Below are 26,638 nucleotides of genomic sequence, written 5' to 3'. Positions count from 1 at the left end.
TCCATCCAACAGCTGAATAATACACATTCTTCTACACTGGACGTGGTATTTTCTACAGGACAGATCATATGTTAGTCTACTAAAAAAGTCTTAACAAATTCAAGAAATTAAAATCATATCAAATATCATTTTTCATGAAAATGAAGTAAACGAGGAATCAACAATAGGAGGAGATCTGAAATGCTACATATACATGGAAATTAAACAACATGCTTCTAAACAACCAATAAATTGATGAACAAATTGAAAGAAAAATTTAAAAAATTTCTAGAGACAAAAGAAAATAAAAACACAAAATACTAAATAAAACTTATGAAATACAGCAAAACCAGTCATTAGAAGGAGGTCTATAGCAATAGATATCTACATGAAAAAAAGAAAAAAGCTCTCAAATGAACCACCAAATGAGGGATCTCAAGGATAGAAAAGCAAGAATAGACTACACTCACAATTAGGAGAAGAAAAGATATAATAAAGATCAGAGTACAATCGAGACTTAAAAACAATAGAAAAGATAAACAAAATAGAAAGCTGATTTTATGAAAAGATAAATGAAATCGACAAACTTTTAGCAAGACTAACCAAGAAAAAAAGAGAGGAGTAAAATAAATAAAAGCAGAGATAAAAAAGAAGGCATTACATCTGATACCACAGAAATACAAAAGATCATAAGAAACTACTATGATATGCCAACAATATGAAAAATCTAGAAGAAATGAATAAGTTCCTAATCACAAAAACCTACCAAGGGTGGGGCAGGTTGGGAGGACGGGTGAGAGATAAAGACTACATATTGGGTACAGTATACACAACTCAGGTGCCAGGTACATGAAAATCTCAGAAATCATCACTAAAGAAATTATTCATGTAACCAAAATCTGCCTGTAACCCAAAAACTATAGAAATACAAGCAATTTATCAAACCTGCCAAGATTGCACTAAGAAGTAGAAAATATGAACAAACAAATAATGAGTAATGAGATTTGAAGCAGGAATAAACTCTTCCATGAAAAGAAAGTCCAGGACATGATGGTGTCATTGCTAAATTCTAGAAAATATTTTTAAAAGAACTAATACAATTTTTCACAAACTGTTCCAAAAAAATTGAAAAGGCGGGAACTCTTTCAAACTTATTATATGAAGCCATAATTACACTGATTCCAAAACCAGAGAAAGACATAACAGCAATACAAATACTTGAGGTCAATATCCCTGATGAATTTAAATGTAGAAATTGTCAACAAAATACTAGTAAACCAAGTTTAACAACATATTAAAAAAATTCACTGGGATTCATATCAGAGATGCCATGATATTTCAACATATGTGAATCAATAAGCATGATACATTACATCAATAGAATCAGATAAAAATTATATGATCATTTCAATAAATGCAGATGCATTTGACAAAATTTAACACCTCTTCATAATAAAAACTCTCAACCAATTAGGTACAGAAATAACATACTTCAACATAACAGAGGCCATATATGACAAATCCACAGGCAGCGTAATGCTGAATGAGGAGTTGTTGAAAGCTTTTCCTCTAAGATCGGGAACAATGTGAAGCTCCCCACTCTTACTGGACCTACTCAACATATTACTGGAGGTCCACAAAAGACTCTGAATAACTAAAGTAATTCTGAGCAAAAGGATAAAGCTAGAGACCTCACACTAATTGCCTTAAAAATATACTACAAAGCTATAGTAATGAAAACAGCATTGTATTGGCCAAAAAAAATTAGAAAAGACAAAAAGTTCAGTGTAACCAAACAGAGATCCCAGAAATAAATTAATGCATTGACAACCAAAAGATTCAAAAAAGATGCCAAAAACACAAATTGAAGAAAGCTCGGTCTCTTCAACAAATGGTGTTAGGAAAACTGAATATCCACATACAATAGAATAAAGCTAGACCTCTATTTCTCACCACATACAAAATTCCATTCAAAATAGACTAAAGAGTTAAATGTAAGATCTGAAACTATGAAAGTACTAGAATAATACAAGAAGAAATGCTACATAACTTCAGTCTTGGCAAGGATTTATTAGGCGAGATCTCAAAAACACAGGCAACAAAAGCAAAAATAGAGTAATTACATCAAACTAAAAAATTTCTGCATGGCAAAGGAAGCAATCAACAGACTAAGGAGAAAACCTACAGAATGGGAGAAAATATTTGCAAATTTTACATCTGACAAGAGATTAATATAAAGAATTTATAAGGAACTCAAACAATTCAATAGGAAAAACCTAATTTAAAAATGGGCAAAGACATTTTTCCAAGGAAGATATAGAAACGGCCAACAGTTATATGAAAAAAATGCTCAATATCACTAACAATCAGCGAAATGCAAATAGAAGCCAAAATGAGATATCACCTCATCCCAGACAGAATGGATAGCATCAAAAAGGCAAAAAAAAAAAAAAAAAAAAAAAATGCTGGCAATACTGTGGAGAATGGGAAAGTTTTATACACAGTTGTTAATGTAAATTAGTACAGGGGTTATGAAAAACAGTATGGAAGCTCCTCAAAAATTTAAAAATAGATCTATCATATGATCCAGCAATCCCACTACTGGGTATATGGCCAAAGAAAATGAAATAAATATGTTGAAGAGTCATTCTGCACTTTCATGTTTATTGCAGCACTGTTCATATTATCCAAGGCATGTATTCATATTATCCAAGGCATGGAATCAACCTAAATGTCATCAACAGAGAAAAGAATAAAGAAAATGTGAGGTAGATATGCATAATGAACTCCATTCGGCCACAAAAAAAGATGAAATCCTGTCATTTTCAATAAAATAGTTGAGCCTGGAGAACATTGTGTCAAGGGAAATAAGCTAGGTATAGAAAGAAAAATACTGCATGGTATCATTCATGTGAAGAATCTAAACAAATTGATCTCAACGGCATTGAGAATGGAATAGTGGTTATCAAAGATGGGAAAAACGGGAAGTGGAAGATGGGGAGAGGTTTTTTAATGGTAAAATGTTAAAGTTAGGTAGGAGGAATAAGTTGCTGTATAGTAGGGTGACTATAGCTGACAATAATGTATCTTTCAAAAAGCTAGAAGAGAGGATTTTGAATGTACTCACGATAAAGAAATGATAAATGTGTAAGGTAATCAATATGCTAATAACCATTATTTGATCATTACACAGTGTATACATGTACTGAAACATCAAATTGTATTCCATAAATATGTACAATTATATGTGTATGTGTGTTTATGTGTGCGTGTGTATGATCCCATCAGATTTTTTATATGACACCTACAAACCTAGCAAATGTGTGGTTTTCCTCAAGTTTCTGTTTGTGTAATTAATGTATCTTTTCTCCAGTTTACAGACTGGGGAAACATTAATACATATATTAATTATATAAATTAATACTTTTTTATATAAGTGTGTATGTATATGTGTGTGTGTATATATACATAGACACACACACCAGAAGTTACATATATATGTGTGTGTGTATATATATGTGTGTGTATATATATGAAGTTACATTTATGTGTGTGTGTGTATATATATAGGAAATTACATATATAGGTATTTGTGTATGTATATATATAACTTTCAGGCCATTTCCCAGATTCTAGTAATATTTATTTTGTGTGACTTTGCTATACTCAGGCATACCTTGTCTTATCACATGGCTTTCTGTCTATCAAGGAATACTAACATCATGTGGAATTTTTTAAAGATGTCCAAGCTATATCACAAATGCTTGAATTCAGAATCTCTAAAGTAGGTCTATAATTATATTTGTTGAAAATATATTTTTACACTTGACTCTGATACAAAAAAAATTTAAATCAATTAAGAATAAGAAACTACAACCTCTAGCATTCATTACAGTAGAGTTGTTCCTACTAGAAAATGCAATATTTCAATATTTGATCTCATTTTCCCTATTTCTTGCCTGGCTTGTAGAGATCTGGAAGATATCTTTTTGTGCATGATGAACCAACAAACAAGTATGCAAGAGAGTGACACAGATTTTATTTCTCCCAGAGAACAGACAGATGCAATGAAGACACATCTTATCAATGGATTTTGTTTCTCAAGTCAAAGTCAGCTTTTCTTAAACCATTTCCTTATGCAAGAAGATGGGGAGCTGAATGTGGAAAAATGCTCTTCAAACAAATAATTTGATAATTGCCAATGAAGAGTGTTCTTTCTTCTCACTACAGATGAAATACAAGAGATGTATCTAAGACCAGAGCTTTTACTTTCTCTAACTGGAGTGAAATTAAAATTGATGGATATTTTATTTTTATTTTCATTTTTATTTTTTCTTCTTTTTTTTTCTTGTGATTGTCTTTTTTATTTTAGCCATTTAAGTACATCAAAAAAAAAGGCAACACTTCCTCAAAGTGAATAAAAATGGAACAAAAATAAAAAAAAAAATTTCCATAGGCCTAGCAGAAACTTAACACATGCTATAATATGTTGCCTAACAATTATACCTTGCAAATATTTGACTATTTCTATTTTTTCAATAGTATCTTAATGGGAGTTTGGAAGAAAATACATCAAGGTGGCTAGCAAACACAATTTCAAATTATAAAGTAATAATATTTATAATTTCTGAGTAATGTACAATTTAACATGAAAAATAGATATCATTATAGCATAAATCCAGGCTAGATTTTAGGACTAAGTAAAATGTCTCAATGGTTTTGTTTTGTTTTAAAAAAGGCATAAGGTTCTCTCGTTATTTAGGCTATTAATCTATCTCCACCTTTTTACTTCCACTTGTATTCTAGTCATTGGTTTTATTAAGAGTTACAACTACCTGAGCAAGTACTTTTTCTTCTATTACATATTAACTATTCCTCTCACTTCAAATTTTTATGAATTATATATTCTAAACTACAAATGCTTGTGTAGCTATGTCCTAACCATGGGTACCATTTTTTATAGTTTGTTTCATTATAAATTCATAGGCTTATTCATTGTTGCATCATAAGTGAAGAATGTGGGAATTCTCAGTGAAAAGACTCAGAACACCACAAAAATAACGTCTTATGGAATCAATACATTAGTTGGAAACAGCAGCAAAATTATTTTTTTCCTCCTCTTAATTACATGCTTTACTGTTCTTCAGCAGAAGGTACAAAATGTTCACTGTCGTTTAAGAATTCTAAGTTTGCTTCATCCATTACTTGTCTTTCATTTTCTAATACTTTGGTATCCTTTCCATGGGATTTTTTCCTTACAACAAAAATAAATACAGTAAGTAAAACAAGTACTGGAAATATTAGGGCTACCTTCAAGCCGAAGAAGGCTCTTCTGTGAAAAGAGAATAAAGAAAATAGATTATTAAATTGTGTAAAATATTTTACATTTTTTTCTCCCCAGTATGCAGACCTTAAAAGAAAAAAAAAACAGAAGTTATACATACAAATATTAAGAAAGCAATTCTGTTTATTCTTTTCATTGGGGAATAAAAAACTTTCCTATTGTTTTTTTTTTATTTAAATGCAAAGCTACAGAAACTAAACTCCGGCTTTCTCTAGCCTTCCTCTGGGATGGAGAAAAATATACATCTCCAGACCTCTCAAACCCTCTCATTCTACATAAGGGCAGGAGACAGAAACTGAGAAGGAAGTTCGAAGTTCACAATCCACAGGTACAGGCTCGGTAAAAGATTGAGACCTTATCATAGAACTGTTGAATGCTACTTTTTCTCCAGCACCTTACACCACATTAATAAACCCTTAAATACAGCCATTCCTTTTACCCAGTACATTTTGTCTGGCTGTCAAGAAAAAATTGCAAGTCTCATACTAAAAGGCAATAAACACAGTCTGAAAAGAATAAGACTTAAAGCCAGATCCAGGTATATAACGGACGTTGGAATTATCAAAATGGAAATTTAAAACAACTATTATTAATTTGCTAAGGGCTCTAATGAATAATGTAGAGAGCATGCAAGAACAGGGGAGCAATGTAAGCAAGGAGATAAAAATTCTAAGAGCCAAAAAGAATCACTAAAGATTAAAAAATACTGTAACAGATATGACAAATACCTTAATTTTTTTATTGTTAGGTAGATTACAGCTGAGGAAACTATCTCTAAGTATATCCCAATACAAACCTCCAAAATTAAAAGCAAAGAAAAGTAAGACTAGAGGAAAAAAAAAAAGGATAGCCAAGAACTTTGTGATAACTACGTGTGTATAATGGAAATACTTGAAAGGGAGAAAGAAAGGAACAAAATAAATATTTGAACTAAAAAGCACTGAAAATTTTTCTTGAATGAATGTCAGACACTAAACTACAGACCCAGGAAGCTCAGAAAACACCAAGAAGGAAAATTGCCAGAAAAATTATGCATAGTTTTGTTATTTTCAGACTGTAGAAAATCAAAGATGAAGAAAACATCCTGTAAGAAGCCAGAAAAAAAACAAACCTTATGTATAGAGGAGCAAAAGATTACATCAGACTTCTCTTCAGAAACCATGCACTCCAGAAGAGAGTGGACTGAAATATTCAAAGTGTTGAGAGAAAAACACCTCCAACTTACAATTATGTACCCTGTGCAATTATCTCTCAAAAGTCAAGTTGAAATAAAGACATCATCGGAGAGCAGCCAAGATGGCCGAATAGGAACAGCTCCGGGCTACAGCTCCTAGCATGAGCGACGCAGAAGACTGGTGATTTCTGCATTTCCATCTGAGGTACCGGGTTCATCTCACTAGGGAGTGCCAGACAGTGGGCACAGGACAGTGGGTGCAGCACACCGTGCGTGAGCCAAAGCAGGGTGAGGCATTGCCTCACTCAGGAAGGGCAATGGATCAGGGAGCTCCCTTTCCTAGTCAAAGAAAGGGGTGACAGACGGCACCTGGAAAATCGGGTCACTCCCACCCTAATACTGCGCTTTTCTGACGGGCTTAAAAAACGGCGCACCAGGAGATTATATCCCGCACCTGGCTCGGAGGGTCCTACACCCACGGAGTCTCCCTGATTGCTAGCACAGCAGTCTGAGATCAAACTGCAAGGTGGCAGCGAGGCTGGAGGAGGGGCGCCCGCCATTGCCCAGGATTGCTTAGGTAAACAAACCAGCTGGGAAGCTCGAACTGGGTGGAGCCCACCACAGCTCAAGGAGGCCTGCCTGCCTCTGTAGGCTCCACCTCTGGGGGCAGGGCACAGACAAACAAAAAGACAGCAGTAACCTCTGCAGACTTAAATGTCCCTGTCTGACAGCTTTGAAGAGAGCAGTGGTTCTCCCAGCACGCAGCTGGAGATCTGAGAACGGGCAGACTGCCTCCTCAACTGGGTCCCTGACCCCTGACCCCTGAGCAGCCTAACTGGGAGGCACCCCCTGTAGGGGAAGACTGACACTTCACACAGCCGGGTACTCCTCTGAGACAAAACTTCCAGAGGAATGATCAGACAGCAGCACTCTCGGTTCACGAAAATCTGCTCTTCTGCAGCCACCGCTGCTGATACCCAGGTAAACAGGGTCTGGAGTGGACCTCTAGCAAACTCCAACAGACCTGCAGCTGAGGGTCCTGTCTGTTAGAAGGAAAACTAACAAACAGAAAGGACATCCACACCAAAAACCCATCTGTACATCACCATCATCAAAGACCAAAAGTAGATAAAACCACAAAGATGGGGAAAAAACAGAGCAGAAAAACTGGAAACTCTAAAAAGCAGAGCGCCAATCCTCCTCCAAAGGAACGCAGTTCCTCACCAGCAACGGAACAAAGCTGGATGGAGAATGACTTCAACGAGTTGAGAGAAGAAGGCTTCAGACGATCAAACTACTCTGAGCTACAGGAGGAAATTCAAACCAAAGGCAAAGAAGTTGAAAATTTTGAAAAAAATTTAGACGAATGTATAACTAGAATAACCAATACAGAGAAGTGCTTAAAGGAGCTGATGGAGCTGAAAGCCAAGGCTCGAGAACTACGTGAAGAATGCAGAAGCCTCAGGAGCCGATGCGATCAACTGGAAAAAAGGGTATCAGTGATGGAAGATGAAATGAATGAAATGAAGCGAGAAGGGAAGTTTAGAGAAAAAAGAATAAAAAGAAACGAACAAAGCCTCCAAGAAATATGGGACTATGTGAAAAGACCAAATCTACGTCTGATTGGTATACCTGAAAGTGACAGGGCGAATGGAACCAAGTTGGAAAACACTCTGCAAGATGTTGTCCAGGAGAACTTCCCCAATCTAGCAAGGCAGGCCAACATTCAGATTCAGGAAATACAGAGAACACCACAAAGATACTCCTCGAGAAGAGCAACTCCAAGACACATAATTGTCAGATTCACCAAAGGTGAAATGAAGGAAAAAATGTTAAGGGCAGCCAGAGAGGAAGGTCAGGTTACCCACAAAGGGAAGCCCATCAGACTAACAGCTGATCTCTCAGCAGAAACTCTACAAGCCAGAAGAGCATGGGGGCCAATATTCAACATTCTTAAAGAAAAGAATTTTCAACCCAGAATTTCATATCCAGCCAAACTAAGCTTCATAAGTGAAGGAGAAATAAAATACTTTACAGATAAGCAAATGCTGAGAGATTTTGTCACCACCAGGCCTGCCCTAAAAGAGCTCCTGAAGGAAGCACTAAACATGGAAAGGAACAACCAGTACCAGCCACTGAAAAATCATGCCAAATTGTAAAGGCCATCGAGGCTAGGAAGAAACTGCATCAACTAATGAGCAAAATAACCAGCTAACATCACAATGACAGGATCAAATTCACACATAACAATATTAACTTTAAATGTAAATGGACTAAATGCTCCAATTAAAAGACACAGACTGGCAAATTGGATAAAGAGTCAAGACCAATCAGTGTGCGGTATTCAGGAAACCCATCTCACATGCAGAGACACACAAAGGCTCAAAATAAAGGGATGGAGGAAGATCTACCAAGCAAATGGAAAACAAAAAAAGGCAGGGGTTGCAATCCTAGTCTCTGATAAAACAGACTTTAAATCAACACAGATCAAAAGAGACAAAGAAGGCCATTACATAATGGTAAAGGGATCAATTCAACAAGAAGAGCTAACTATCTTAAATATATATGCACCCAATACATGAGCACCCAGATTCATAAAGCAAGTCCTGAGTGACCTACAAAGAGACTTAGACTCCCACACAATACTGATGGGAGACTTTAACACCCCACTGTCAACATTAGACAGATCAATGAGACAGAAAGTTAACAAGGATACCCAGGAATTGAACTCAGCTCTGCACCAAGCGAACCTAATAGACATCTACAGAACTCTCCACCCCAAATCAACAGAATATACATTTTTTTCAGCACCACACCACACCTATTCCAAAATTGACCACATACTGGGAAGTAAAACTCTCCTCAGCAAATGTAAAAGAACAGAAATTATAACAAACTATCTCTCAGACCACAGTGCAATCAAGCTAGAACTCAGGATTAATAATCTCACTCAAAACCGCTCAGCTACATGGAAACTGAACAACCTGCTCCTGAATGACTACGGGGTACATAACGAAATGAAGGCAGAAATAAAGATGTTCTTTGAAACCAACGAGAACAAAGACACAACATACCAGAATCTCTGGGACGCATTCAAAGCAGTGTGTAGAGGGAAATTTATAGCACTAAATGCCCACAAGAGAAAGCAGGAAAGATCCAAAATTGACACCCTAACATCACAATTAAAAGAACTAGAAAAGCAAGAGCAAACACATTCAAAAGCTAGCAGAAGGCAAGAAATAACTAAAATCAGAGCAGAACTGAAGGAAATAGAGACACAAAAAACCCTTCAAAAAATTAATGAATCCAGGAGCTGGTTTTTTGAAAGCATCAACAAAATTGATAGACCGCTAGCAAGACTAATAAAGAAAAAAAGAGAGAAGAATCAAATAGACACAATAAAAAATGATAAAGGGGATATCACCACCGATCCCACAGAAATACAAACTACCATCAGAGAATACTACAAACACCTCTACGCAAATAAACTAGAAGATCTAGAAGAAATGGATAAATTCCTCGACACGTACTCTCTCCCAAAACTAAACCAGGAAGAAGTTGAATCTCTGAATAGACCAATAACAGGCTCTGAAATTGTGGCAATAATCAATAGCTTAGCAACCAAAAAGAGTCCAGGACCAGATGGATTCACAGCTGAATTCTACCAGAGGTACAAGGAGGAACTGGTACCATTCCTTCTGAAACTATTCCAATCAATAGAAAAACAGGGAATCCTCCCTAACTCATTTTATGACGTCAGCATCATCCTGATACCAAAGCCAGGCAGAGACACAACCAAAAAAGATAATTTTAGACCAATATCCTTGATGAACATTGATGCAAAAATCCTCAATAAAATAATGGCAAACTGAATCCAGCAGCACATCAAAAAGCTTATCCAACATGATCAAGTGGGCTTCATCCCTGGGATGCAAGGCTGGTTCAATATACGCAAATCAATAAATGTAATCCAGCATATAAACAGAACCAAAGACAAAAACCACATGATTATCTCAATAGATGCAGAAAAAGCCTTTGACAAAATTCAACAACCCTTCATGCTAAAAACTCTCAATAAATTAGGTATTGATGGGACATATCTCAAAATAATAAGAGCTATCTATGACAAACCCACAGCCAATATCATACTGAATGGGCAAAAACTGGAAGCATTCCTTTTGAAAACTGGCACAAGACAGGGATGCCCTCTCTCACCACTCCTATTCAACAGAGTGTTGGAAGTTCTGGCCAGGGCAATCAGGCAGGAGAAGGTAATAAAGGGTATTCAATTAGGAAAAGAGGAAGTCAAATTGTCTCTGTTTGCAGAAGACATGATTGTATATCTAGAAAACCCCATTGTCTCAGCCCAAAATCTCCTCAAGCTGATAAGCAACTTCAGCAAAGTCTCAGGATACAAAATCAATGTACAAAAATCACAAGCATTCTTATACACCAATAACAGACAAACAGAGAGCCAAATCATGAGTGAACTCCCATTCACAATTGCTTCAAAGAGAATAAAATACCTAGGAATCCAACTTACAAGGGATGTGAAGGACCTCTTCAAGGAGAACTACAAACCACTCCTCAAGGAAATACAAGTGGATACAAACAAATGGAAGAACATTCCCTGCTTATGGGTAGGAAGAATCAATATCGTGAAAATGGCCATACTGCCCCAGGTAATTTACAGATTCAATGCCATCCCCATCAAGCTACCAATGACTTTCTTCACAGAATTGGAAAAAACTACTTTAAAGTTCATATGGAACCAAAAAAGAGCCTGCATACCAAGTCAATCCTAAGCCAAAAGAACAAAGCTGGAGGCATCACCCTACCTGACTTCAAACTATACTACAAGGCTACAGTAACCAAAACAGCATGGTACTGGTACCAAAACAGAGATATAGACCAATGGAACAGACCATGAGTGATAAAGATATGTCAATATGGGTTGTCAATTGTAACAAATCTACCACCCTGATGGGAGATGTTGATAACGGGCAAGGCTATGCATGTGTGGGAGCAGGCAGGATATGGGAAATCTCTGTGCTTTCTCCTCAATTGTACTGCGATTCTAAAACTATTCTAAAAAATAAAGTCCTTTAATAATCATAAGATAACCATTTAACTGTTGTATTAATTGGCAAATAACTGCTCTTTTAAAAATGTCCACTTTAACCAATCCAGCAGTGAACACAGGTGACTAAAATAAAAGTAGTAAGGGCCATGTGTCAGCTACAATATGCCAGGAGAGTTGTAAAGAGGGATGGTTATTTCTAGCTGGCTGAAGTGGTGCAAACTTTTGAAGAAAGGGTGTATGAGATAAGCTTGAAGCATGCACTGGATGTCAGAAGCCTAACACTTGCCTTAATTGGCTAAAATCAAGGTATTGATAGAGCTGCATCTTTTTATTTTATTTTATTATTTATTTATTTTTGAGATGGAGTCTCACTCTGTTGCCCATGCTAGACTACAGTGGCAAGATCTTGGCTCACTGCTACGTCCACCTCCCAGGTTCCCGTGATTCTCCTACCTCAGCATCCTGAGTAGTTGGGATTACAGGCACCTGCCACCATGCCAGGCTAATTTTTGTATTTTTTAGTAGAGACGGGGTCTCACCATGTTGGCCAAGCTGGTCTCTAACTCCTGACCTCAAGTGATCCACCTTCCTTGGCCTCCCAAAGTGCTGAGATTACAGGTATAAGCCACCGCGCCTAGCCCTGCATTTTTTTTCTGTAAGCTCTACAACCTGTTTCCTTGTCTTTTCCCACTTCTAGAGGCGACCTACATTCCTTGGCTTCTGGGCCGTTTCCTTCAACTTCAAAACCGGCAACAATATGCATAGTCGTTCTCACATCACATCCCTCTGACCTCTTCTGTTGCTTCCCACTTACATACACACATACATATATATGTGTGGGTGTACACAACACACACACACACACACACACACACACACACATTTCCTTTTAGTTCTACCAAAACCTTCACTAAAGGAAAAGAAACTAATATGGGTTTTTTAAAAAATTGTTTTAGAAGTCTTTTCATACTGAAACTAAAGTAACTAAAGTAATGCTATCCTAAAATGTGATGTTAATGCTTGGACTTGGTGATCATTGCTTTGGGGAGATTCTGAGGAGCATCTTGACAGTTGTCCTAAAATGAGTTATAATTCCAAATAAAAATAAACACTTTCGGCCGGGCACAGTGGCTCACACCTGTAATCCCAGCACTCTGGGAGGCCTAGGCGGGTGTATCATGAGGTCAGGAGATTGAGACCATCCTGGCTAACACGGTGAAACCCCGTCTCTACTAAAAATACAAAATATTAGCCGGGCCTGGTGGCAGGCGCCTGTAGTCCCAGCTACTTGGGAGGCTGAGGCAGGAGAATGGTGTGAATCCTGGAGGCAGAGCTTGCAGTGAGCCGAGATTGCGCCACTGCACTCCAGCCTGGCCAACAGAGCGAGACTCAGTCTCAAAAAGCAAACAAACAGACAGAAATAAACACTTTCTTAACATAATGTCATTAAAGTAAATTTAGTAAGTGTTGCTTTTTTATTTCTTTCCATACTTTTATTCGTGGAAATAAAATCTACCATTTAGGAAGACATTTTATATAATAAGACTTAAAGTTAGGAGAATGTGGGGTAGTGAATGCTGCTTTACTACAATTCCAGGAAAAGCTGGATCATTACTTGTTGGGAATGTTTGATAGTGAATTTACATATTAAGTAAGAGAAGGTTCTAGTAAATTTGACCCAGGGAGTTTTCTCCAGGGATTTCACCTGAACTAAGAAACATTCCCCACTTTACATAAACAATAGCATGCTCCACGTATTCTTCCTGCTTTGTCCTTTTTTTTAATGTAACAATATATTGTGAATAGGGTCCATATTAGAAAATACATATCTCGTTTCTTCTTTTTTTAAGAACTCAGAATATTCATTTGCCTGCATGTGTCACTATTTGATAACTTATTGATTGATATTTACATTGTTTTCAGTATTTTGGGAATATAGCTTGCTAGAGGATAAATTCCTAGAAGTACTCCCACTGGCTCAAAGTCATTTACTTTGCAAACACAATCTCCAATCAACACCTTTGTTGACAATCTGGGTGACTTTTAATTGCAATTCTCTTATTGTCAATGAATAAAAAAATGATGTTCATATTTTCATGTTTCATAACCTCTAGTGACTTTTTTGGAAAATGTTTGATGATTTTTTTTCTTTACTAGTTCCTATATCTTATAGCAATTTTAGTTTTACAGAAAACTGTACAGAAAGTATGGAGGGCTCCCTGCCCAACATACGCACAGTTTCTCCTATCATTAACCCCTTGTATTAGTACAGCACATTTGTTCCAAATGATGAAAGAATACCGATACATTATTAAGTCCATATTTTACATTAGAGTTCACTTTCTATGTTGTAAATTTCCAAAGGTTTGGCAAATGCATATTATGATGCAACATTATAATATCATATAGAATAGTTTCACTAGCCCAAAAAATGTCTTGTGTCAGACCTATTCAGACCTATTCATCCATTCCTTTTCCCCACTGAGCCCCAAGAAACAACTGATCTTTTCATTGCCCATTGTTTTGCCTTTTCTACAAAGTTATACAGTTAAAATTATACAATCTGAAGCTTTGTAGGCTGCCTTCTTTTATTTACACATTTAATTTTCCTTTCTTTCTTTTTGTAGATTGATAGCTCATTTTTTTTTAATTGATTGATGTGATTTGGATTTGTGTCTCTGCCCAAATATCATGCCAAATTGGAGGAGGGGCCTGGTGGGAGATGACTGGATTATGGGGGGTGGATTTCCCCCTTTCTGGTCTCAAGATAGTGAGTGAGTTATGAGATCTGATGGTTTAGAAGTGTGTGGTACTTCCACTTTTGCGCTCTCTCTCTCTCTCTCCTGTTGCCATGAGAAGATATGCTTTGTTTCCCCTTCGCCTTGTGCCATGACTGTAAGTTTCCTGAGGCCTCCCAGTCATGCTACCTGTAAAGCCTGTTGAACTGTGAATGAATTAATCCTGTTTTCTTCATAAATTACCCAGTCTCAGGTAGTTCTTTATAGCATCCTGAGAATGGACTAATACATTGATGACTAATATTCCATTGTATGAATGTACCACAGTTCAATTATTTGTTTACCTATTAAAGGACATCTTAAATGCTTCCACTTTTTAACATTCAAATGCAGGGTTTTTTTTTGTGGACATGTTTCCAATTAATTTAGGTAAATATCTGGGAGCATGATTGCTTAATCATACAGTAAATCTATCTTTTGCTTTTAAAAAACTTTGACTCTGTCTTCCAACATGGCTGTACCATTTTATATTACCTCCAGCAATGAAAGAAAATTCCTGTTATCTCATTCTTGCCAGCATTTGGTGGTGTTTTTGTTAATTTTTAAGAGCTTTTTATATACATAGGACATTTGCCTATGTCTGTGTCTGACTTAGAAATTCTTCTAATTTATCTTTTGCTGTTGAATTTCACTTAAAATAAGTTCTGGTGATGCAGTTTTTAAAATATTTTATTATTTGTTCCTTTTCTTTATCTTCTTTGTTTTAACATTTATTTTAGGTTCACGGGTACATGTGCAGGTTTGTTATGTAGGTAAATTGTATGCTATGCAGGTTTGGTGTACAGACTTATTGTCACCCAGGTAATAATCATAGTCACTTATAGGTAGCTTTGTATCTTCACCCTCCTCTCACCCTCCACCCACAAGCAGACCCCAGTGTCTCTTGTTCCCTTATTTGTGTCCATATGTACTCAATGTTTAGCTCCCACTTAAAAGAGAGAACATGTGGTATTTGATTTTCTGTTCCATAGGCTCACTTATGATTCAACATCACTAATTATTAGAGAAATACAAATCAAAACTACAATGAGATACCATCTCACACCAGTTAGAATGGCTATTGTTAACAAGTAAAAAAATAACAGATACTGACAAGGTGGTGAAAAAAAGGGAACACTCATACATTACTGGTGGGATTGTAAATTAGTTCTGCCATTGTAGAAAGCAGTCTGGTGGTTTATCAGAGAATGTAAAACAAAATTACCATTCAGCCCATTAATTGTATTACTGGGTATAAACCCAAAGCAATAAAAATCCTTCCACCATTTTTTTTTTTTAATTATCATTTGGGGCATTTGGGTCATACTTGGTGTTATGGGTTGGTTGTGTCCCCACCCAAATCTCATCTTAAACTATAGTTCCCATCATCCCCAAATGTCGTGGAAGGGACCCAGTGAGAGGTAACTGAATTATGGGGATGGTTATCTCCACACTGTTCTCGTAGTGAGTGAGTTCTCATGAGACCTGATGGTTTTATAAGGTGCTTTTCTCCCTCTTTGCTTGGCACTTCTTCTTGCTGCTGCCATGTGCAGAAGGATGTGTTTGCTTTCCCTTCTGCTGTGATTTTAAGTTTACCCAGGCCTCCCCAGCCCTCCAGAACTGCAAGTCAATTAAACCTCTTTCCTTTATAAATTACCAGTCTTGAGTATGTCTTTATTAGCAGTGTGAGACTGGACTACTACAGTAAATAGGTACCAGGTAAGGGGGCACTGCTGTAAAGATATCCCAAAATGGGGAAGCAACCTTGGAATTTGGTAACAGGCAGAGGTTGGAATTGTTTGGATGGCTCAGAAGAAGACAGAAAAATGTGGGAAACTTTGGAACTTCCTAGAGACTTGGAGGGCTCAGAAAATAGGAAGATGTGGGAAAGTTTGAAACTTTCAAGAGTCTTGTTGAATAGCTTTGAACAAAATGCTGATAGTGATATGGATGATAAAGTCCAGGCTGACGTGGTCTCAGATGGAGATGAGGAACTTGTTGGGAGCTGGAGTAAAGGTCACTGTTGCTATACAAAGAGTTGGGTGACATTTTGCCCCTACCCTGGAGATCTGTGGAACTTTGAACTTGAGAAAGATAATTTAGGGTATCTGGTGGAAGAAATTTCTAAGTGGCAAAGTGTTCAAGAAGAAGTGGTGCATAAAAGTTTGAAAAATTTGCAGCCTGATGATACAGTAGAAAAGAAACCCATATTCTGCGGAGAAATTCAAGCCAGCTGCAGAAATTTACATAAGTAATGAGAAGACAAATGTTAATTGCCAAGATAATGGAGAGAATGTCTCCAGGGAATGTCAGAGACCTTTGTGGCAGCCCCTCCCATCACAAAACAAGAGGCCTAAGAGAAGTACTGGTTTTGTGGGCTGGGCCCAGGGACCCCTGCTGTGTGTAGCCCAGAAACTTGGTGCTACAAGTCCCAGACACTCCAGCCATTTTTAAAAGACGCCATGGTACAGCTTGCCCCATGGCTTTAGAGGTTGCAAGCCGCGAGCCTTGGCAGCTTCCATGTGGTGTTGAACCTGTAGATGCACAGAAGTAAAGAATTGAGGTTTGGGAACCTCCGCTAAGATTTCAGAACATGTATGGAACTTTCTAGGCAGAAGCTTGCTGCAGGGATGGGGCCCTTATGCAGAATCTCTGCTGGGACAGTGTGGAAGGGAAATGTAGGGTTGGAACCCCCACACAGAGTCCCCACTGGGGCACTCCCTAGTGTGGCTGTTAGAAGATGCCCACCATCCTCTATACCCCAGAATGGTAGACCTACCAACACCTTGCTTTGTGTGCCTGAAAAAGCTGCAGACACAATGCCAGCCCTTAAAAGCAGCCTGAAGGGAAGCTGTATCCTGCAAAGCCACAGTGGTAGAGCTGCCCAAGACCATGGGAGCCCACCTCTTGCATCTGTGTAAACTGGACGTGAGACATGGAGCCAAAGGAGGTCATTTTGGAACAATAAGGTTTAAAGACTGCCCTATTAGATTTTCGGCTTGCATGGGGCCTGTAGCCCCTTTGTTTTGGCCAATTTCTCCCATTTGGAATGGGTGTATTAACCCAATGCCTGTACTCCCCATTGTACCTAGGAAGCAACTTATCTGCTTTGATTTTACCAGCTCATAGGCAGAAGGTACTTGCTTTGTCTCAAATGAGACTTTGGACTTGGACTTTTGAGTTAATGCTGAAATGAGTTAAGACTTTAGGGGCCTGGTGGGAAGGCATAATTGTGTTTTGAAATGTGAGGACATGAGATTTGAGAGGGGCCAGGGACAGAATGATATTGTTTGGCTGTGTCCTCACCCAAATCTCATCTTGAACTGCAGTTCCCATAATCCCCATGTGTCATGGCAGGGACCCATTGGGAGGTAATTGAATCATGGAGATGGTTACCTCCATGCTCTTCTCATGAAAGTGAATGAGTTCTCACGAGATCAGATGGTTTTATAAGGGGCTCTTCTTTTCCTTCACTCTGCACTTCTCCTTGCTGCTGCCATGTAAAGAAAGATGTGTTGGCTTCCCTTTCTGCCATAATTGTAAGTTTCCTGAGGCCTCCCCAGACCTGAAGAACTGTCAGTCAATTAAACCTCTTTCATTTATAAATTACCCAGTCTTGGGTATGTCTTTATTAGCAGTGTGAGAATCGACTAATACACTTAGAAACACATTTTTTTCTTCCTAGATAATTAAAAGAAATCCTATGTGAGTAGTTCTAATACTTATAATTTCACATGTAAAATTTGTGTATTTGGTCAATATATAAATTTCAAACTAATGTTTCTATAATTAGTAAGGCACACTTGCAGCAGCTTGTTTTCCTCCAGATGATCATCCAGTTATCTTAATGTCACTAAGAGAATACCTTTGCCTATGAAGAGTATGGAAACATTTTTTCCCATATTTTCCTCAATGACCATATAACCAGAGCCCAGCTGGTCATTCTACATCTTCCTGGAGAAGCCAGAGGAGGAGAATTTTGTAATAAAAAGAGATTCAAGTACAGATCCCAGCTGTATTTCTTTTAGTTATGCTATTTTGGACAAGTTATTCATTATTCTTGAAACCTATTTTCTTCATATTTAAAGAAGGAGAAAATAGTGATTTTCTACAGTTTCTATGATTATTAAAATGAGATACCAGAATGCCTGAAACAATACTAAATACAAAGCAAGGGTTCACTATATGGTAGCTATCATTATTAATATTATAATCACACTAAAATGATAGACTTAGGAATTAACATAGTCAAAGAAAAAATCTATTAATAAAATATATTTATGACAACTTACCCCAAATATGTGGAATTATATATCCTACAAGCCCCTCGTGCTCCACAGCTGTTGGTGGACCACTTCATACACGTTGTATCAATCAGAGCCCCAAAATATATTGGAACTAGAATACCTCCTGCAACATGAGATAAGAAGATATCAATCCAAGGAAAATGTTTCAGATATAACTGGGTGATATTCAACATTGATATATTTTGAGTTAAAAAAGTTTACAATTTTGGAAAATTATTCCATTGTTTTGGCCTACATCTACCCAAGAATCACAATTATTAGGAAGCTCAAAGGCTTAAGTCATATGGTAATGTCATAGACATATTTGATCTACTCTTCCCTCCCTATATTCATAGGGAAGAAGGAGGACTATATACCTATATACTCTGTTCTTCCTATAACATCGATTAACTTAAACCTGATTGGTAAAAGGGGAACGTTATTAGTAAAACATGGAAATCATATTGATTCATATACAATTTTTCTTAGGCAAGAAAGACTGGATTACTGGGAGTCAAATTACAACCTTATGGGAAAAGGAAAAAGCTCTCACCTCAACTGCTGTAAAGTCAAAGATTTTTAATACTATTTTAAGAAAATTAAAAAGTGAATGCTTACATCAGGATTCCCTCCCCCAGAGATGTTCAGGCCTGGTTTCAAAGAGTGCTCAGCTATTGGCCAGTTTTACTTCTTTCTGGGCTCAGAACCCCATTTCCTCCTTCTTGGTGCTCTTAAAGACCACAGTCCAGCATTTTCTTTCCATTGATTTAATGCTTTTCTTAATATCTCCTAAAGCAGCCTAGGCTGTACAGGTCAGGTTCGCTGCTAAATTTTGTTTCTGTTAGTGGTCTTATCACAACGGTGCATACATTTCAGTGGTCTGTCCCTAAGTCAATTTTTATCTGTAGTGCATGGTTTCACGGAAGGTACAGCATTCCAGGAATACATACATTGTTTATAGGAGAAGTATACATTCTGAGATTAACTCCTAGTTTTAAGCATAGGTAATTTGGTCAAAATTTTGAAGGACATCGTAGTAGAGAGCTATCCTTCAGATGTTAGAACTGAAGCATACAAGATTTTAGTTTGTTCTTGTTCTTTTTTGTGACTCATACTTTTCAGATTTTGTCACAAAACATGACAGTGATTTATATATGGCACTTTACTGATTCTGCTTATTTTTAATCATTCTCAATTTCTGACAGTAAGAAATATTAGAATGACAAGGGAATGGTGTCTGAGGCCAATGTATCTGAAGCAATCTAGTGCTGACAAAATGGGTGAGAAATTTGCAGATTTCAAAAACTCAGGAGCACCTTTGAAAAATAAAAAATAGATGTCAACAATTTATTTTCTTCACATTATGCCACTGGTTTAAACAAACTTTATGAAGTAAATGTGTTAACTAACACTTAATTACTGGAATTAGAAACCTCTGATGACCTATTTTCTAAATAACTTTTTCAATTTAATACACTATATATTATAATAGGCCTTCCACAATTTACAGACATACCATATTTAAGATGATTGTTTGTGAATTGGAAGTTTGGTACTAAGTGTGCATTTTTCCCATAGAGGCATTTGAGCTTCATTGTGGCATATGGTGGACACATCGAAATTGGATGTTCACAATTAGGATGGCCAGATTTATTTTTTTCTATTTTATGTTGCTAAAATAATTTCTATTTTCAGTCTCATTTCAACATATCAGAAGAAATACTAACTACCCAGAACTATTTTCAGCCTCTGTGTTCAAGTTCCAGGAGTGAGGTATCTTCACTGAATCTGAAGGTAGAGAACTGCCAAGATTACAGAGGCTGGAAGATTAGGGACACAGAAAGGGAATACTGGGAAGAGAACCGATGTAACCCTGCAGCATCTCCATCTTCTCTCTCCTATTCCCTTTGCACTTCTTTTTACCTTTCAGGATCTGTGACCTTCTCACCAACTACACTTCATGACAACTCCATTGTAACTTGGCCATACTTTTTCCTTTGCTTGCAAGGGTCCCAGAAACTGACCCCTCCCACTTCCTTTTCCTTCTGCCATCAGTGGTTACCTATGGGCCATAATCAGTCCTCTGCACCAATCCCTAGATGGATGATGCCCTTTTGCTACTTCCCAGGAATAAGCATATAAGGTTTACAGTTCTTACGAAGGAGCACTCACAGGGGTTAGGCTAGACATTGTTTAACAACAGGCAGCTGTGCAGTAAAGAGGGCAAATGGCAACAAGGGAGAAAGGGTAATTTTCTAAATCTTTTCTAATCAACTTTGAATATTTAAAATATAGGCCTCTAAAAGGTGGCCGATAGGAGGCAGGACTAGCTTGCAGCTCTCACTTGGACAAACAGAGCAGCATGTGGAGACTCACATCGCGAACTTTTTCTCCAAGAACTACCATAGCAACATAGTGGGAAAGCTGAGAGAATCCACAAACCCTTTGAAGAAACTGTATCACCAGCTGCAGGCTCCCTGAGATGCCAAAAAACGGAGTCAGCTTCCTTTCTCAGCAGGGAGGCTGGTGGTTAGGGGCAAGTTTTTAGCCTTCGTCACCAAATACCTGGTAATAGACTCAGTGCTGTTGGGGGTCACAGTGGCAGTGAGATCAGCCTGTAGGACTGCATGCTAGATAGGAGTAGGGTAAGGCCTGTTACTGCCGGTCCTTCCACGCCCCCCTGCCGCTCACCTGGTCCCCCACTACTTCTTTTGAAATTTGTGTGACTCAGCAGAGGCAGCCATAATTCCCTTGGGAACATAACTTCATTGGCCTGGGAACCACACCCTCATCCCCCACAGCAGCCACAGCAAGCCCTACCCAAAGAGAGTCTGAGCTCAGACATGCCTACCTCTGCCCCCACCTGATGATCTTTCTCTACCTGCTCTGGCTGCCGATGACAAGAACATAATCTCTTAGGAGCTCTATGGCCTTGCCCACCAACTGAGAAACCTGAATACTTAACCAGGTGATCCTAGGGCAAGTTTGCTTCCTCTCTATAGTACTGCGGCTGATGTACTCTTGAAAGCACCACTGCCTGGCTGGAGGCCAACCCACACAAAACCGGTGAACTAAACAAAAATACAACCAAGGACCCTATCACAGTCCACTTCAACCTCCTGCTACCTCCGCCAGAGCAAATGCTGGTATCTATGGCTGAAAGACCTGAAGATGGATCACATCACAGGGACTCTTTGCAGACACTCCCTAGTACCAATCCAGAGCCCAGTAGCTCCACTGGGTGGCTAGACCCAAAAGAGTAAAAACAACAACTGCAGTTCAACTATCAGGAAGCCCCACCCCTAGGGGAATGGGTAGATTGCCACATCAAAGGAGCACCCTATGGGACAAAAAAATCTGAACAGCAGCCCTTGAGCTCCAGATCTTCCCTCTGTCATAATCTACAAAATGAGCAGGAACAATAAAAACAATTCTGATAATATAACAAAACAAAGTTCTTTAACACCCTCAAGAGTCACACCAGTTCACTAGCAATGGATCTAAACCAGACAAAACCTCTGAATTGCCAGGAAAATAATTCAGAAGGTCCATTATTAAGCTAGTCAATGAGGCGCCACAGAAAGGTGAAGTCCAACTTAAGGAAATAAAAAACATGATACAAGATATGAAAGGAAAATTTCTCAGTGAAATAGATAAGCTAAATCAAAAACAATCGCAACTTCTGGAAGTCAAGGACACACTTAGAGAAATGCAAAATGCACTGGAAAGTCTCAGCAATAGAATCAAACTAGCAGAAGAAAGACCTTCAGAGCTGGAAGACAAGGCTTTCAAACCAAATCAATTCATCAAAGAGAAAGAAAGAAGAATTTTAAAAAATAAACAAAGCCTCCAGAAAGTTTGAGACTAGGTTAAGCATCCAAACCTAAGAATAATTGGTGTTCCTAAGGAAGAAGAGAAATCTAAAAATCTGGAAAGCGTATTTAAGGGAATAATCAAGGAAAACTTTCCCAGCCTTGCTACAGATCCAGACATCCAAATACAAGAAGCTCAAAGAACACCTGGGAAATTCATCACAAAAAGATTATCACCTAGGCACGTATTCATCAAGTTATTTAAAGTCACGATGAAGGAAAGAATCTTAGGAGCTGTGAGGCAAAAACATCAGCATCAGGTAACCTATAAAGGAAAACCTATCAGAATCCCAGCAGATTTCTCAGCAGAAACTGTACAAGCCAGGAGGGATTGAGTTCCTATTTTTAGCCTCCTTAAACAAGAAAGTTATCGGCAAGAATTTTGTCCCCAGCAAAACTAAGCTTCATAAATGAAGGAAAGATAAAGTATTTTCCAGACAAACAAATGCTGAGAGAATTTGCCACTATCAAGCCAGCACTACAAGAACTGCTAAAAGAGCTTTAAATCTTGAAACAAATCCTCAAAAGACACCAAAATGGAACTTCCTTGAAGCATAAATCTCACAGGACCTGTATAACAATAACACACACACACACACACACACACACACACAACCCAAGGTATTCTGGCAGCTAGCACGATGAATAGAATAGTACCTCACATCTCAATACTAACGTTGAATGTAACTGACCTAAATGCCCCACTTAAAATATATAGAATGGCAGAATGGATAAGAATTCACTAACGAAGTTTCTGCTGTCTTCAGGAGAGACTCACCTAACACATAAGGATTCACATAAACTTAAAGGAGTGGAAATAGATATTCCACATAAATGGACACTAGAAGTGAGCAAGAGTAGCTATTCTTAGACAAAACAAACTTTAAAGCAACAGCAGTTTAAAAAGACAAAGGGGCACATTATATAATGATAAAAGAACTAGTCCTATAGGAACATATCAGAGTCTTAAATATATATGCACCTAACACTGGAGCTCCCAAATTTATATAAAAAACTTACTACTAGACCTAAGAAATGAGATAGACAGCAACTCAATAATAGTGGGGGACTTTAATACTCCACTCACAGTGCTAGATAGGTCATCAAGAGAGAAAGTTAGCAAAGAAACAATAGACTTAAACTACAGCCTAGAATAAATGAGCTTAACAGATACTTACTGAACATTCTACCCAATGACTGTAGAATATACATTCTATTCATCAGCACATGGAACATTGTCCAAGATAGACCATATGATAGGCCACAAAACATGTTTCAGTAAATTTAAGAAAGTGGAAATTACATCAAGTACTCTCTCACAGTGAAAGAAAATTGGAAATTAGCAGAAAAAGGAACACCAAAAACCATGAAAATACATGGAAATTACATAACTGTCTCCTGAATGATTGTTGGGTCAACAATGAAATCAAAATGGAAATTTAAAAAAGTTTTGAAAGGAACAAAAATGTGACAAAACTTATCAAAACTTCTGGGATACAGCAAAAGTGGTGCTAAGAGGAAAGTTCATAGCTTTAAATGCCTATATCAAAAAGTCTGAAAGAGCACAAATAGACAACATAAGGTCACATCTTATGGAACTAGAGAAACAAGAACAATCCAAACCCAAAGCCAATTGAAGAAAAGAAATAACAAAGATCAGGGCAGAACTAAGTGAAATTGAAACAACAGCAACAACAAAATACAAAATATAAATGAAACAAAAATCTGGTTCTTTGAAATGATAAATGAAATTGATAGACCATTAGCAAGCTTAACCAAGAAAAGAGAGCAGATCAAAATAAGCTCAATTAGAAACTAAATGGGAGATATTACTACTGATACCACAGAAATACAAAAGATTATTCGAGGCTACTATGAACACCTTTAAGTGCATAAACTAGAAAATCTAAAGGTGATGGATAAATTCCTGGAAATAAACAACCAGGAATAAATAGAAACTCTGAACAGACCAATAAAAACCAGTGAGATCGAAATGGTAATCTAAAAACTGCCAACAACAACAACAAAAAAAGTCCAGAACCAGACAGATTCACAGCTGAATTCTATCAGGAATTCAAAAAAGAATTGTTATCAATCCTATTGACACTATTCCACAGGATAGAGAAGGAATGTATTCCTCCTAAATTTTCTTTAGAGCCAGTATCACCCTAATACCCAAACCAAGAAAGGACATAACAAAAAAGAAAACTATAGACCGATATCCCTGATGAACATAGAAGCAAAAACCCTCAGCAAAATACTAGCTAACTCAATCTAACAGAAGATCAAACAGATAATACACCGTGATCAAGTGGGTTTCATACCAGGGATGTAGCGATGATTTAACATCCACCAGTCAATACACCACGATACACCACAAAAACAGAATTAAAAACAAAAATCACATGATCATCTCAATAGATGCAGAAAAAGCATTTGACAAAATCAGGCATCATTTTATGATTAAAACCCTCAGTAAAACTGGCATAGAAGAGACACGCCTTAAGGCAACAAAAGCCATCTATGGCAAACCCACAGCTAATATTTTACTGAATGAGGAAAAGTTGAAAGCATTCCCCCTGAAAACTGAAACAAGATAAGGATGCCTCCTTTCACCACTTCCATTAAACATAGTACTGGAAGTCCTAGCCAGAGCAATCAGACAAGAGAAAAAAATCAAGGGCATCCAAATTGGTAAAAAGGAAGCCAAACTGTCACTGGTGATGATATGATTGTAAACATAGAAAGCCCTAAGGATTCATCCAAAAAGCCCCTAGAGCTGGTGAATGAATTCAGCAAAGTTTCAGGATACAAAAATCTATGTATACAAATCAGTAGCTCTGCTATACACCAGCAGTGACTAAGTGGAGAATCAAATGAAGAACTCAACCCCTTTCACAATAGCTGCAAAAATATAAAATAATTCTTAGGAATATACCTAACAAAGGAGGTGAAAGACCTCTAAAAGAAAAACTACAAAACACTGCTGAAAGAAATCATAGATGACAAAAACAAATGGAAACACATCCCATGCTCAGGGATGTGTAGAATCAATATTGTGAAAATGACCATACTGCCACAAGCAAGCTACAAATTCAATGCAATTCCTGTCAAAATACCACCATCATTCTTCATAGAACTAGAAAAAATAATCTTAAAATTCAAGTGGAACCACGTAAGAGCCTGCATAGCCAAAGCAAGACTAAGCAAAATGAAAAAATCTGGAGGCATCACATTACCTGACTTCAAACTATACTATAAGGCCATAGTCACTAAAACAGCATGGTACTGGTATAAAAATAGGCACATAGATCAATAGAACAAAAGAGAGAACCCAGATATAAAGCCAAATACTAACAGCCAACTGATCTTTGACAAAGCAAACAAAAATATAAAGTGGAGAAAGAATACCCTAGTCAACAAATTGTGCTGGGATAATTGGCAAGTCACATGTAGAAGAATGAAACTGGATCCTCATCTCCCACCTTATATGAAAATCAACTCAAGATGAATCAAAGACTTAAATACAAGACCTGAAATCATAAAAGTTCTAGAAGATAACATCAGAAAAACCATTCTAGACATTGGCTTCGGCAAAGACTTCGTGACCAAGAACCCAAAAGCAAATACAACAAAAACAAAGATAAACAGATGGGAGTTAATTAAACTTAAAAGCTTTTGCACAGCAAAAGAAATAATCAGCAGAGTTAATAGCCAATCCACACAACAGCAGAAAATCTTCACAATCTATACATCTGACAAAGGACTAATATTCTGAACCTACAAACAACTCAAACAAATCAGCAAGACAAAAACCAAACAATCTCATCAAAAAGTGGGCTAAGGACATGCATAGACAATTCTCAAAAGAAGATACACAAATGGCCAACAAGCATATGAAAAAATGCTCAACATCACTAATTATCAGGGAAGTGCAAATCAAAACCACAATGCGATACCACCTCACTCCTCCAAGAATGGCCATAATCAAAAAATTATAACATAATAAATGTTGATGTGGATATGGTGAAAAGGGAACACTTTTACACTGCTTGAGGGAAGGTACACTAGTACAACCACTATGGAAAACAATGTGGAGATTTCCTAAAGAAATAAAAGTAGA

General features: G+C 37.5%; 1 protein-coding gene across 1 annotated transcript in view, besides 1 other annotated feature; it reads right to left on the bottom strand.

Moving 5' to 3' along the window:
• Positions 1-3,996: 3,996 nt before the first annotated feature.
• SLCO1B3-SLCO1B7 (SLCO1B3-SLCO1B7 readthrough) overlaps positions 3,997-26,638 on the bottom strand; it is a 275,549-nt gene continuing 252,907 nt past the window's right edge. The window contains exons 15-16 of the mRNA NM_001371097.1: positions 18,650-18,767; positions 3,997-5,311 (exon numbers count right to left, since the gene is read on the bottom strand). Of these exons, the coding sequence (NP_001358026.1) occupies positions 5,113-5,311; positions 18,650-18,767 (317 nt within the window). The 3' untranslated portion in view covers positions 3,997-5,112. The remainder of the gene's footprint in view (positions 5,312-18,649; positions 18,768-26,638) is intronic.
• Positions 20,608-21,807: an enhancer, noted in NCBI's record as "P300/CBP strongly-dependent group 1 enhancer chr12:21226346-21227545 (GRCh37/hg19 assembly coordinates)". NCBI's record gives its function as "activates an origin of replication core promoter dependent on BRD2, BRD4, P300/CBP, MED14 and CDK7 cofactors, with strong dependence on P300/CBP, by STARR-seq in HCT116 cells {active_cell/tissue: HCT116}" and the evidence as "EXISTENCE:reporter gene assay evidence [ECO:0000049][PMID:35650434]".

This window comes from Homo sapiens, chromosome 12 (assembly GCF_000001405.40).
Source record: "Homo sapiens chromosome 12, GRCh38.p14 Primary Assembly".
Classification (NCBI taxonomy): domain Eukaryota; kingdom Metazoa; phylum Chordata; class Mammalia; order Primates; family Hominidae; genus Homo; species Homo sapiens.
The sequence above is the reverse complement of the archived record's forward strand: the minus strand, read 5'-3'. Positions and strand labels throughout refer to the sequence as shown.